Source organism: Homo sapiens, chromosome 2 (assembly GCF_000001405.40).
Source record: "Homo sapiens chromosome 2, GRCh38.p14 Primary Assembly".
Classification (NCBI taxonomy): Eukaryota; Metazoa; Chordata; class Mammalia; order Primates; family Hominidae; genus Homo; species Homo sapiens.
The window spans coordinates 190054016-190069087 of NC_000002.12; the positions used below are offsets into that span (position 1 = coordinate 190054016).

General features: G+C 35.0%; 2 protein-coding genes across 3 annotated transcripts in view; one reads left to right on the forward strand and one right to left on the reverse strand.

The window, feature by feature from the left end:
• The window catches only part of AKAP19 (A-kinase anchoring protein 19), a 323923-nt gene that overhangs the window by 174454 nt on the left and 134397 nt on the right, over positions 1-15072 (forward strand). The window lies entirely within an intron of this gene.
• On the reverse strand, positions 1685-8714 carry MSTN (myostatin). Its single transcript, NM_005259.3, has 3 exons — positions 8209-8714; positions 6047-6420; positions 1685-3623 (listed from the first exon to the last, which is right to left on the reverse strand). The coding sequence occupies exons 1-3, from the start codon at positions 8579-8581 to the stop codon at positions 3243-3245; spliced, it is 1128 nt and encodes a 375-aa protein (NP_005250.1). The 5' UTR covers positions 8582-8714; the 3' UTR covers positions 1685-3242.

A 15072-nucleotide genomic window follows, 5' to 3' on the forward strand; every position in this document is an offset into this window, starting at 1 on the left:
TGTTTTGCAATTCAGTTTGAAAATTGGTGCTCACAAAGTTCAGATAAGTGTACCAGTTTCATTAAGTGGTAAGAAAAAAATGTAGCTTCCTTGTGTCTCTGTGGCTTCAGTAGAACTTGTAACTCTAGGACCATATACCCTTGCCAACTGCAATGCATTTGGAAATTGAACCTATGAAAACATATAAATAGTTTTCAGGTCAAGACAAAAACAAGAAATAGGGAAAGGATTCCCTATTTAATAAATGGTGCTGGGAAAACTGGCTAGCCATATGTAGAAAGCTGAAACTGGATCCCTTCCTTACACCTTATACAAAAATTAATTCAAGATGGATTAAAGACTTAAATGTTAGACCTAAAACCATAAAAACCCTAGAAGAAAATCTAGGCAATATCATTCAGGACATAGGCATAGGCAAGGACTTCATGTCTAAAACACCAAAAGCAATGGCAACAAAAGCCAAAATTGACAAATGGAATCTAATTAAAGAGCTTCTGCACAGCAAAAGAAACTACCATCAGAGTGACCAGGCAACCTACAGAATGGGAGAAAATTTTTGCAACCTACTCATCTGACAAAGGGCTAATATCCAGAATCTACAATGAACTCCAACAAATTTACAAGAATAAAACCCATCAAAAAGTGGGTGAAGGATATGAACAGACACTTCTCAAAAGAAGACATTTATGCAGCCAAAAGACACATGAAAAAATGCTCATCATCACTGGCCATCAGAGAAATGCAAATCAAAACCACAATGAGATACCATCTCACACCAGCTAGAATGGAGATCATTAAAAAGTCAGGAAACAACAGGTGCTGGAGAGGATGTGGAGAAATAGGAACAATTTTACACTGTTGGTGGAACTGTAAACTAGTTCAACCATTGTGGAAGTCAGTGTGGCAATTCCTCAGGGATCTAGAACTAGAAATACCATTTGATCCAGCAATCCCATTACTGGGTGTGTACCCAAAGGACTATAAATCATGCTGCTATAAAGACACATGCACACATATGTTTATTGCAGCACTATTCACAATAGCAAAGACTTGGAACCAAGCCAAATGTCCAACAATGATAGACTGGATTAAGAAAATGTGGCACATATACACCATGGAATACTATGCAGCCATACAAAATGATGAGTTCATGTCCTTTGTAGGGACATGGATGAAGCTGGAAACCATCATTCTCAGCAAACTATCACAAGGACAAAAAAACCAAACACCACATATTCTCACTCATAGGTGGGAATTGAACAATGAGAACACATGGACACAGGAAGGGGAACATCACACACCGGGGCCTGTTGTGGGGTGGGGGGAGGGGGGAGGGATAGCATTTGGAGACATACCTAATGTTAAATGACAAGTTACTCGGTGCAGCACACCAACATGGCACATGTATACATATGTAACAAACCTGCACGTTGTGCACATGTACCCTAAAACTTAAAGTATAATAAAAAAATAAAAAAAAGAGAAATGAAACAGATATAACTACTCCTTGCTTTCGTATGTGTAAAGCAACTTGACCAGGACCAATTTAATAGGAATTTAACTCCTGAGAACCGGAGTAGCAGACCTAAAATTCCTCAACCAAACTTTTGTGCTAAACAATTAGACTTTTATAATAAAGTGAAAATCAGAAATCCAGAATTAATCATTAGAATAAAAACTGTTGTGTCTTTCAAAAAAATGTGAAAACACTTTAATATAACTTATACTGTTTCTACAAATTAGATGTAAGAAATAATTTCATTTAGTCATAGTACAATAAATTTGATTAACAAAATCCCAATTTACAAAACAGAAGTAAATAAATGCAGAAATATATTCATTATCAAATTATAAAATAAAAGTAACAGTTATTGTTGAGATAGCATCAGTTTATTCTTCATTTCAGATAATAGAGTCAATTATTTTGGTATACTTAGTAATGTTTTTGCAAGTATTAAAATAATGGAACGTTGAGATTTAAACACAATGACAGTAAACCATTGAAATTTCAAATTCACTTTATACAGCCATCATGAATCCATAAGTGAATGTTAATCATGTAAAAAAATATAAAATGATTGTAATATAACCATCTAATCATTAACATATGGAGTTTTAAGACCACTATTTAATCTGCTAATTTGCTCTGAAATATAAGTAGTTGCTTTTCTGTGATGCATGACATGTCTTTGTGCCTTAGTACTTAATTTGAAATGTCCTTAGTGTAAAAATATACCAAAGTAAATAAAAAAGGAGACACTTATTTACAAAACAATATTGTATACATATTATATAAATGCATTGTTTCAGTCTTTTTATACAATATTGATAGAGTCGATCATTTCTATTATTTTACCATAAAAACTGCAGTGTTGCAAAGGCAGTGTTGTAATTTTCCAAAGACAAAATTACATACTTCTCCAAGTATGTTATTTTGACATTTTGATAAAAACAAACACCATTTGACTGCCTTTTAAGATAATGCAGTTTCTCCAAGTATGCTACAGAATTGAAAGCCAACCTCTAGAAAAATGATTCTTCTTACATTAAAGAAAATCCATTCCTCATTTGGAGGTGTAGGAAAATGCACCTGAAGAAAAGAGAAACTTACTATTTTACTGAATGTTTTTTATGTGATAAACCTGGTAGCCTCAGACATTCAGCCTATCGTATTAGCACCGTTGGCATGGATTGTTAATGTACTGTGTCAATTATAATAGGAATGGAAATTGCATATGCTGCACCATCCCTATTTTTGTGGAATTTTATCTTACCAAGTATACTACCATACAATATAAATTCAAGTGTTTAAGGATGATTCGAATGATGGTATATAACAATCCTGCATTTTACCAATACTGTATGTGGATTTTTCTGTAAATATTAAACAAAACTTTAAAGAAATAGACTTTAAAGCATACTCCTTTAATTCATCAGAACTCAAGGAGAATCGCTTTCATTTCCTCGCCGATGTTGTAATATATAGGAACATAAATGTAATTTGATCTCCTTCTAGCTCAAAAACTCTGGAAATCATAAAACTTTCTTGTATGATTTGTTTGGATGGTTAAATGCCAACCATTGCATATATTCCCCCTTTTAGTTTACATACTGTAGCTTATGCTTAAGTGACTGTAGCATACTCTAGGCCTATAGCCTGTGGTACTTAATTTCACAGCTTCAAAATTGTTGAGGGGAAAACCTTCCATGTTTTAGGAAGTTATGAACGCTTAATATAAATCTCATGAGCACCCACAGCGGTCTACTACCATCGCTGGAATTTTCCCATATATTATTTGTTCTTTGCCATTAAAATATAGCATATTAATTGGAGACATCTTTGTGGGAGTACAGCAAGGGCCTGCTGAACCTCTGGGGTTTGCTTGGTGTACCAGATGAGTATGAGGATATTTTTGTAAAAATACAAATTCACACTCTCCAGAGCAGTAATTGGCCTTATATCTTTTAGGAGCGATAATCCAATCCCATCCAAAAGCTTCAAAATCCACAGTTAGAGGGTAACGACAGCATCGTGATTCTGTTGAGTGCTCATCACAGTCAAGACCAAAATCCCTTCTGGATCTTTTTGGTGTGTCTGTTACCTTGACCTCTAAAAACGGATTCTGTTTGAAAAGGAAAGAACAATCAGTAATATCAATAGGCCTGGAAACACTTTTCTACCTACCTTAAGAAGTTATTGTTGAAGTAATAAACTAATAATTTTGCTCATACCACATTTATTTTTAAAAGGCACAGCATTAAGGAATGTTAATTTACACTAGGCTTGATTTTCCCCTTATGTCTCAAAAGAATTTAACAGCAATACAAATTCCCCTAAGGTCAGTACCATGTCTTTTTAAGTTTTATTTTTCCAAGTTTGAGTACCAGATTGCCTGGCACATAATGGATGTCCTGAAAATATTTATGGGAAGAAAGGGAGGGAAGGAAGAAAGGAGAGAGAGAGGAGAAGAAGAAGTGGGGAATGAAGGAAAGAGCTAACAGCTCCCTCTCTTCTTGCTTCCTGATTAAATATGTTGGCTAAATATGCCTGGTAACTCCTGGAGGGTTAGGTATAGTCATCCATCCTCCTCACTCAGGAAAACTTGGACAATAAAACCAGGGCAAAATAGGGAAGGACAAATTCAGAAGAAGAGACGATGATATTTCCTTTATTCTTTCACTGGAAAATGTTTCTATTCAGGTATTTAAAAATTTGTTGATTCTGTCTCTGCCCCAATCTTTTAATGCATTTGAGACTTTGTTTCCCTTTACATGAAAAAATCTGAGGAACACAACATATTAACCACTGGACATATTATCAATTTTGATCATTAAAATTCTACCTATAAAAAGGAACACTTTCTTAAATAATTGACAGTAGTTTTTAACCCATATCTAAATGAAAATAGCTCTGGCAGTGTTATTTAAGACTGTCAAAAATAATAATATCATTTTGGGAGTCATTAACATTTAAAGTAGCATATATAAAGGAAACTAGATCATTTAGAAAATTGTATAGTCTTTTAGACACCTGCACACGTATGTTTATCGCAGCATAATTCACAGTTGTAAAGATATGGAACCAGCCTAAGTGCCCATCAGCGGATGAATGGATAAAGAAAATGTGGTATATATACACCATGGAATACTATTTAACCATAAAAAAGAGTAAAGGAATGTCTTTTGCAGCAAATTAGATGGAGCTGGAGGCCATTATTCGAAGGGAATGGAAAACCAAATACCATACGTTCTTACTTACAAGTGCGAGCTAAGCTATGCGTACGCAAAGACATACAGAGTAGTATAAGGTACTTCGGAGACTCAGAAAGGGATGAGGGATTAAAAACTACATATTTGGTACAATATACACTACTTGGAGTGATGGGTGCACTAAAACCTCAGACTTCACCACTGTACAATTCATCTATGTAGCCAGAAACCACTTGTACCCCCCAACATATTGAAGTAAAACATGTGTGTGTGTGTATAAATATATATATACACATATATATAATAAAGTAATAAAAATGAAAAAATATTGTATAGTATTTTAAAGAATGTTTTATTTAGAGTAGATCTGATCTGCTAATTATATCATCTTTATAACTAAGATCATTGAATGATTACAAAGGTAACAGGTTTGTTGTTTACAAGTATAATCTTCTTTTGTAAATTATATCAATAGATGAACGTAAAAAGATGTGATCACATTAAGTATTTGAAAACAGAAATTTAGGTAAGCCAGAAGAGTAACCCTAAATTTGTACTAGGAATTAAAATGGTTTTTATTAATTTTTGTGATATATAAGGTATTGTCATTTACTTGGCCTGGTACTAAATTAGTCGGCCTTCCCTGAGTAAATTTTTGCACAAGAATGCTAAGGCAGCTCAGAAATAAGCTAGGTGGCAAAGGTTAACTAGTATGTAACTTGAAATTTTATTAGGAGTATTCCACAAAGAAATATATACACACATCAGTGCATCAACATCCTACAAATAATGAACATATTTATCTTGAGAAACCTTAAATATATTTAATAAAGTATAAGCCTATAAATATCACTCTTAATTTCTCTGAATAAAACATTTAATTATAATTTTAAAAGGTTTATCTGTTTTATGCTAAGCCAAAAATCTTTAACACATTTGGCACCCTTCTGGGAGAAAAAAATAATGTTTGGATTTGTTGGTTTATGTGGTAAAATCCACTATATAGAGTTAATATTTTAATACATACAGTCATGTATCATATTAATGAAAAGCACTTTATATTTCATTCCCAATTCAAAAGGACTTCTTAAGAAGTTAAGAAGTATGGTATAATTGTTTTCTAAAATCTTGATGCAAAGTAAGAGTATCAAGGGAGTGTTTCATAGGATATGAAATTGGACACCTACTTTTATTGGGTACAGGGCTACCGTTGGGGTAAGATACCTTTGTCTAGCTTATGAGCTTAGGGAATTTGTAGCTATTTTCCACTATTGTTTGTTCATATTATGAATAAAAACATAAGGTTATTATAATGTTATTTTCAGTTATCACTTACCAGCCCATCTTCTCCTGGTCCTGGGAAGGTTACAGCAAGATCATGACCATTCTCATCTAAAGCTTTTATTTCAATGCCTAAGTTGGATTCAGGTTGTTTGAGCCAATTTTGCAACACTGTCTTCACATCAATGCTCTGCCAAATACCAGTGCCTGGGTTCATGTCAAGTTTCAGAGATCGGATTCCAGTATACCTTGTACCGTCTTTCATAGGTTTGATGAGTCTCAGGATTTGCACAAACACTGTTGTAGGAGTCTCGACGGGTCTCAAATATATCCATAGTTGGGCCTTTACTACTTTATTGTATTGTATTTTAGAGCTAAATTTAAAGAAGCAACATTTGGGTTTTCCATCCACTTGCATTAGAAAATCAGCTATAAATGAATAAGAAAAGAAAAGTTGCTGAAATTATTTCCCATTAACAAAACCCCTCCATATTAATAGTTGAGCATTTTTTTAAATTAAGATAATGTATGCCTATGCAGTCTTTTAAAATGAAATACCGTGTGGAACTTTATAACTCAAAAAAATGTCAAAGAAAATAATTACCCTAGCTTTTCAGAATTTTTCAGACGTATGTATTTTCAGCTGTTCATCAGGAATCTATTCCCCTTCCAGAGAACTATGGACAAAGGAAGGTTCTATGAAGTAATGAACGCTGAATGAAATTTTAAAATGATGATGATTAGAGAGAACAAGAGACACTGTGGAGGAACAACCACTTAGAATTCTTTGGGAATCTGAGTAGTTACACTTACTGAGCAGCTGTACCAATCAGTCTGGAAGAAGGAACCCTTCCCCCAGGCCTGAATTACCTGGGGACAAGACACACTGAGCAACTTACTGAGCCTCAGGAATTAGTAGAAAACACAGTACATCTGTTACATTTTGGCTTTGGAATAACCTTTTAAAGGAGCAAAACTAAGCAGATAATTAACACAAAAATTTTGATGTTATATTCAGGCTATCTGAAAAGTTCGAAAGTATTGTCTTTAGGGCCAGGCTGTCATGTAAGCACAAGCACTAACAATTTCTTTTATTTTGGTTTTCCAAAATTGTCTATAAAAGGTAAATCTGCTCCAGACCTATTTGATAGCAGAGTCTTAAATGGAAATTCTTTGCTGCATTGTAACCTGATTACTTAATAAGGGAAATAATATTTTAAAACTGTTTGGAGTCTTGTTTAAAGTATATAAAGCATTGTATTAAAGCAAGATAACAGGTAACACAAAATTTTTCTTGCCATGCCTTCTCTGTCAAGGTGCCTGTTTCTCTTTCCTGGAGAAAGTATTCTTTTGAGCTGACTGCAAAAGGAATTGTATGAAATATGTTATCTGTCAGAAGCAGTGTAGATACTACAGGTAAAAGCCCTCCCTCTCAGGAAGAATAAAATATTTTAGAAGGTTATTAAGCACTGTGCCTGCTTGGAAGTACACAAACTGGGTACTCTCAATAATAGTACTATGGTCAAGGTACAAGGAGGACTTTGTGAGCCATAACCTACCCAATTAAAATGTTTATTTCTTAGGCATTTTCTAATATTTAGTTCATGATGATTATTATGCTATGTTTACTTCATTATTGTTCTTACTAACACATTAAGATATTTAATTTTTGCATATTCTTCAGTGTAATAGCTCTCAAAATTAAATTTTTAACTGTGAAGAACAAAAAAATTACTGAGAGAGTTTCAAATAACAGAAATCACTTGAGGTTTTCAGCAGTGCTCAAGTAAGCTTAAACATCCAGCAAGTTTCTTTTTTTTTTTCTGTTATTAGTGAAAAAAACTTATTTTACACAACTAAATACAATTCTAAAATCTAATGTAAGTTTTAAACACTGCTTGTAGTATCTCCCAGTCCTTGCCTTGGTGGTATTATTGTGAAAGCATAAGCATGCTATCTATATTTGCCTTATTAAATTAATGCTATGCAAGTACTTTATTTTTTAGTTTTTTGTCTCTATAAGAAAACAAATAATGCAGCAGATTTTTGTCTCATTAATATATTCTCATGCAATCTTGAAAAAGAGAAACTCTTTTCCTTTCTACTTACATACAGGCCAACAGCTTGTTTAAAAGAGCCTGAAAATAGATCTGTTTCTCATAAACACTAGAACAACAGTCAGCAGAACTGTTGATATACACTAATAGGACTACTTACACTCTGTAGGCATGGTAATGATTGTTTCCGTTGTAGCGTGATAATCGTCATCTTCCAAAGAGCCATCGCTGCTGTCATCCCTCTGGACATCATACTGATCAATCAGTTCCCGGAGTGGAGGAGCTTTGGGTAAAAGTTGTCTTATAACATCTTTGCTGATGTTAGGAGCTGTTTCCAGACGAAGTTTACTGAGGATTTGTATCTTAATGGCTTCTATTCTTGAAGATTTAGTGTTTTGTCTCCAAGTACATGCATTACACAGCCCCTCTTTTTCCACATTTTCTTTTTGCTCACTGTTCTCATTTAGATCCACTGGACCAGCAACAATCAGCATAAACAGGTAAATATAAACACAGAGTTGCAGTTTTTGCATGATTTTAAAATCAATATAATCTTTTTTCTTGTTCTTGTTTCTTCCTTTTACTTTTCTTTTGCTTTTGAGTAATGCCAAGCAAAATTTTAATGCATGTACAGTCTGAGAGACAACTTGCCACACCAGTGAATCTTTTATACTGTATTCCAAGTGGCTTTTTATATTCCAACTTAGATGAGACAAGTGTCGTCAGGATCTATGATTGGCTCTTGCTCCACAATGAATCTCGCTGTCAGAGGTTAAAACCCTGTCTGTCCCAAGTCACCAAGCAGTATTTTGTTACAGTCAAGGGTGAGCTGATTCATTTGACTACTTCATAAAAGAAATAAATCTACAAATAATAAAAGATATTTGTGACATTTGAAAAACAAAAGTCTATGTTGGCAATAATATAAACTGTACTTAAATCTTACTAATCCTCACACAACTCTTATTGTAATTTAAATAAGTCAATTTTAATTTATACTACATATTTAAAATATGAAATATTACTTCCTCAAAAACTAAAATGATTTTATATTGTTTAGGCAAGTATTTGAAGTAGAAAATATTTTTATTTGTTGTATTAAATTATTTTTAGTGCCAAGTAATTAGGAAAATAAAAATTAGGAAGACCTGAATTAAAAGTTAAGATTATGATACTAGTTGAGAATTTTCATCTATAATTTGAGAAACTTGTTTTCTGACTAAATTCTTAGTAAATATTGGAAGTCATTGTTATTATAACATATTGTGCATGGAATTATTTTTACATAGTTTCATGTCTTTTATTAATATGAAAATTATACTGAACTTTTGACTGAGTGCTATTATTTCCTATTCTAAAGATGCAGATTAACATAACTCAGAAGATGTGTTTTTCATTGTTTATTACCAAGAGGGTAATGCCAGCTAGTAGAAAAATCTCTGAACATAGACTAAGATAATGAATTTTATAACTGGCATGGCAGAGATTATTACAGTTTGCCTCAGATTTCCAGCAGTAAATATCCAGAGAGTAAAAAGTGCAGTATCTATTCTCTATAAATTATATCAGAATATTATGAGCACATAAAAGAGAAAGAGCATCATGATAAAGGGGTGACCTTTTGTTGTTTCCCAATACTGCGATATGTTTGCACCCCTTTGCCAATTTCTCATTTTGACCAGAGGGCAGACACCTGGCAGGGATTTGGGGTAAAGTCTGGGAGCAGAGAATAGAGCTTTTTGTTCTCTAAATTTAAGTGGCCTCTGTAGGGATCAAACGTTCAACCTTAGCTTTGGGAGCCACAAGATCTAGTCAAATGAACTATTAAAGAGCTAAGCAAACATAGCCAGCAAGAAACAGAAGATATTTCTAGGCCAAAGGAGATTTCTTTTTCCTACTCCTTTTTGGGAAGCTAAGGATTCCTAAGAGATTTAGTCCATTACTTTTTTTTTCCAAGAGAATACAGTGGCTCATATCAAATATTTATTTTTAAAGTCACTACCATTTTTGCACACTGTACACTAATTTACTGCCTCGGTGCACTAAAATGCAACTCAGTAGCCTGAAAAGTTAATGCATTTTCATCAAATTCTTAAGAGGTATCTACATCTCTTGAGAAAAAAATGGCCTTACATAATGCATTGGATTTGCTCATCATTAAAGATTAAGGAAAACCAGACACAAACCAGATGCCCTGAGGATTTCAGATACTCTTTGTTATGGGACAATATTAGATCTGGCTTCTAAGGTTTTATTTGTTTGGTAAATTCATTTTTCAATGTGTAAATCTTTCAAATGTTATGATCATTGTAACACATGCATCTATACAGTTCCAAGTAAGTCAAACTTTTTTTTTAATATGCTTAGAATTGTATAGCAGTTGAATTGAGAACTCAGGCTCTGGAGTCAGATAGACCTGAGTTCAAATCTCAACTTTGCCACTTCTAACTATGTGATAATGGATGAGATACTTAACTTCCCTAAACTTTAGCTTCCTCATAGGGTTTTGGGGGGATATAATTTAATAATGCATGTAAATTGCTGAATATGGCACCTGTCATATAGTAAGTAATTGATAACTGGCATTTGAGTGCTTGCTCTTTGTTTTATGCAGAAGGGTTTGAGATTATGCTTAAAATTATGCTCCACATGAACTAGAACTGCTTCAGGTCATAGCTGCCAATTATCAGTCACAAAGCCTACTTTCTAGGCCTGTGAGGCAAGTAAAATTTTCTAAGGCAGCCAGGTTACAAGACATGTTCCAGCTCTTTATTCTTATCACCTGGAAAAAAGTGAACAAAGGTTGTCATTTCCGCTAACAGACAATTCTTATTATTCATGATTTCTGTATTCACAAATTTGCCTACTTGCTAAAATTTATCTATGAAACTCAATATTCCTAGCATTTTTCAGTCATTCGCTGGCATTCACAGAGCGGCAAAAAATTTGAGTCCTATCTGACGCACAGGTTCCCAGATGAGGTCAAACAAGGCAGGGTTCCGCCTTTTTGTTTCAGCTCTCATACTATAAACAAATTCCCTTTTTCCCGTCTATTTAGTGCCATGTTTTCACATATTTTGTGCTTCTTTTTTTATTGCTCCTCTTATTGATTTTGCTTTTTAAAAATGGCCCCCAAGCATAGTGCTGACGTGCTGCGTGGTGTTCCTATGTTCCTAATCACAGGAAAGCTGCAATGGAAAGTAGCATGGTGGTTGCCAGGGACTGGGTGAGGCACTGAGGGGTAGTTACTGTGTGATAGATACAGAGTTTCAGTCTGGGAAGATGAAAAATTTCTGAAGATGAATGGTGGTGATGGTTACACAACAGTGTGAATGTGCTTAATGCCACCGAACTGTACACCTAAAAATGGTTAAGATGCTAAATGTTGTGTATATTTACCACAATTTTAAAAGGCTGTGATATGCCTAAGGGAAAAAAGTTCTCATGAAAAAATGCATGTGCTAGATAAGCATCATTCAGGCCTGAGTTATAGTGCTGCTGGCTGTGAGTTCAGTGTTAATGAATGAACAATATATATTAAATAATGTATTTGTAAACAAAAACATACATAAAACAAGGTTATATATTGATTGGGTGATGTAAATGTTATGACCAGAGGCTCAACTAACCCTGTTTTTCCCCTGGGAACAATAGTTCAATATTTGCTAACTCAGTGTTGGCAATGACTTTATAGAACATAACTACTATGAATAGGGAGAATTGACTATATCTAATCAACTTCTCTAGAGAACAGTATTGAATGGGTGAAGAAGAACTGAAGAAATTTAAGTAAGTTTTATTCCTTCTCCAGTGGCAGTGATTGCAACCTTCCTGAGGCCCCAGAATAGAAGGGCTCACCAGCTATAGGAAACTTCAATGTAGTCTGACTGCTGGAGACCCAGTTCTGGCAGTTCTTATCACCAAGGAGACAGGACAGTACTGCATCATTAGGGTGAGTGGGTAGAGAAGAATTCCTCCTAGTTAACTGGGAGAGCTGCGTCTATCAGCTTGTTGGTTTTGTCTTAAGTTAGCCATCTCTAAAAGCAGCTTCTCACAGGAGTCAGAATTTAGGTAGTTAAGGCAGTATCTCACAAGACTGGTATGGTTCGTCTTTGTACTAGGTAGACTGTTGTGGGCCTCACATTTTCTGTAACCGTCAGTAAGGTGGCAAGCGAAACTCTCTCATCTCTGTTACAAATACTCACTGGTTGTCTCAAAACAATGTTGAGGGTATAAACAATATTTTCCAAAAAAAAATTACGGTTTTATTTTTCCAGTGTGAGATCTACTGAGTGTACTAATGTAAAGACTTGCCGGAAGTTTAATGATCATGGCCAAGAAAAGGAGGACGATGAGATTAGGAATTAGCACAAGAATGAATCATGAAAAATTCAACAGTTTTGGGCAAAAACTCAGAAAGTTTTATCTGATACCTCTTGTCATTAACTTGTGTTTACAGCTGTTTGGTATTACTTTATGCTGATTATTCTTAGAGCCAGAAAAAATCTGCATAGTACTCAACTCACTTAACATCATGAGAAGATAATCATCCCACATTGATGATAACTGATTACCCATGCTTTTGATAGTTAGAAGACAAAAATTAACAAAAACAAAAAATATTCTTAAGCTAGGTAGCATGAATATGGGAATAGAAGGCAGGAGACCCAAAATATAGTTCTGGCTTTACTGTTGATGTTTTATGTAACCTTGAATAAGTCAGTTAGCAAACCCTTCATTTATAAATGTATGTATGTGTGAATTCATGTATTAGTTTATGAAATATTTGAATGCCTATTTTGTACCTGGCACTATGCTAGATTCTGAGGATAAAACAGCGAGCCAGACAGACACAATCACTGTCTTCAGGAAACCTATGGACTAGTTTCTTCATATGAAATATGAATAAATTTGATTAGGTGTGCCCTTTCCATTGAGGTTTATCCCCTAAAGCAGTGATTCTCAAAATTTTGGGTCTCAGGATTTGTTTATACTCTCAAAAACTATTTAGAATCCCCCAAATCTTTTTTTGTGTCAGTTATATCATTAATATTTAACACATATATATTAAAACAAATTGTCATGTGCAGGCATATTCAAGCATGCATTTTATTTGCTGACAGAGTCATGATGTCTTCATACATTATGGGGCCTCTGGAAAACTATTGTACACATAAGAAAGAATGAGTGTGAGAAAGGCAAAAAACATCTTAGTATTATTATGAAAACAGTTTTTATTTCATAGACTCTCTGGAAGAGACTTGGGAAGCACCCCAGTGATCCCCAGACTGTACTTGGAGAACCATATGCCCAAAGTAGTACTTTTTACACTACTTCAATTGAATACTTCCCCCTTTAACTTACAGTCCCCTCCTCCCAATACCTGTAGCGTTGCTTTTAATGAGACATCAAACATGGTAATTTTAAAACATTGTTTATTTAATAGTACATAATTATTACAAAAAGCAGAAATGTAAATATTATTGTAATCACCAACTACAAACTTGCAGGCAATCTAGAGGTCATTTGCAAAATATTTGTCAGTTCTAGGGTATAGACTGAAATTAGTAGTCTTAAGGGATTTCTTGTAGATGGTCTTCAGAAGGTCTTGAGGTGACTGTATTCATACTCTGGCAATCCTCATAATAATGTCCTAGTTAATAAAATTGCTGCAATCCATTGTCCTTTAAGAGTAGAATTAATTCAGGAAAACTTCAAAATGCAATTTCTCCTCTCCCTCCTTCCCAAAATGGGAGCTCTAGTCTATTTATTATAGGCTTAAAATTTATCATAGAAAATAAAAATGAAGTTATAATTTGGCTTCCTCATTTTTTCTATTGAAAAAAAGATACTAGGGGCCAGGCACGGTGGCTCATGCCTGTATCACAGCACTTTGGGAGGCTGAGGCAGATTGGATCATTTGAGGTCAGAAGTTCGAGACCAGCTTGGCCAACATGGTGAAACACCATTTCTGCTAAAAATACAGAAATTAGCTGGGTGCGGTGGCGTGAGACAGAGCGAGACCCTCTCTAAAAAAACAAACTAGACTCAAAGACTTGCTGTTAAAATTGTATAGATTGTCCCCTCCTCGATTATTACAATTCTTATATGTTTGTGTTTTAATGTTTCCTTACTTGTCCTCTAATCCCTACCCTTCCATCCCCCAAATAGACTATGAGCTATTTGAAGGCAGGGAATATTTTGCTCTTTTTTGTCTTTTCAGCTCTTGGTCTAGTACCTGGCACATAGTTAGACGGGGAGAACAGTGTTTTTCTTTGTTTGTTGAGATGGAGTCTCACTCTGTCACCCAGGCTGCAGTACAGTAGCAGGATCTCGGCTCACTGCAACCTCTGCCTCCCGGGTTCAAGCGATTCTCCTGCTTCAGCCTCCTGAGTAGCTGGGATTACAGGTGTGTGCCACCATGCCTGGCTAATTTTTTGTATCTTTAGTAGAGACGGCGTTTTGCCATGTTGGCTAGGCTGGTTTCGAACTCCTGGCCTCAAGTCATCCATCCGCCCACCTCAGCTTCCCAAAGTGCTGGGATTACAGACGTGAGCCACTGCACCTGGCCAGAACAGTGTTTTTTAAATAATTAAACCACTAAATGAACAAACAACTCCTTAAATACCAGAAACTCCAACTTTTCAACTTCTCGGCAAGGTGTAGTTAGTGTATTTATAGACTTTCTAAGTGAAAGGGTTTTTAGTTTGTTCTGACTGTAGTTCATAGCATTTCTGTTGACTCCCCTCTTCCTGAAACTGGCAGGAGAGATTAGTATCACAGGTCCCTGTGTTCTTGACACTGCAGTAGTTCTCCAGTGGAGCACTGAGCACTTTGAGTATCCCAGTGCAGCTTTTGCATTTAATGATCTGGGCTTCCTAGATCTATGGCTTCTCACACCGTGTGGCTCTTAACAGGGACCATACTAGGGAGTTGCCATGCTGGCTATGACACCACTGCTTAAGGTGACTAGATCCCTTCCCCAACATAGGTTCATATTAAGTTTAATGAGTCTCAAAGGTAG

Coding starts and splice junctions, on each gene's coding strand:
- MSTN (NM_005259.3), bottom strand. CDS start 8,581: ATGCAAAAACTGCAACTCTGTGTTTATATTTACCTGTTTATGCTGATT. Junction 6,421..8,208: donor CATTACCATGCCTACAGAGT/GTAAGTAGTCCT, acceptor ATTCATTTATAG/CTGATTTTCTAATGCAAGTG. Junction 3,624..6,046: donor GACCAGGAGAAGATGGGCTG/GTAAGTGATAAC, acceptor CTTTTCAAACAG/AATCCGTTTTTAGAGGTCAA.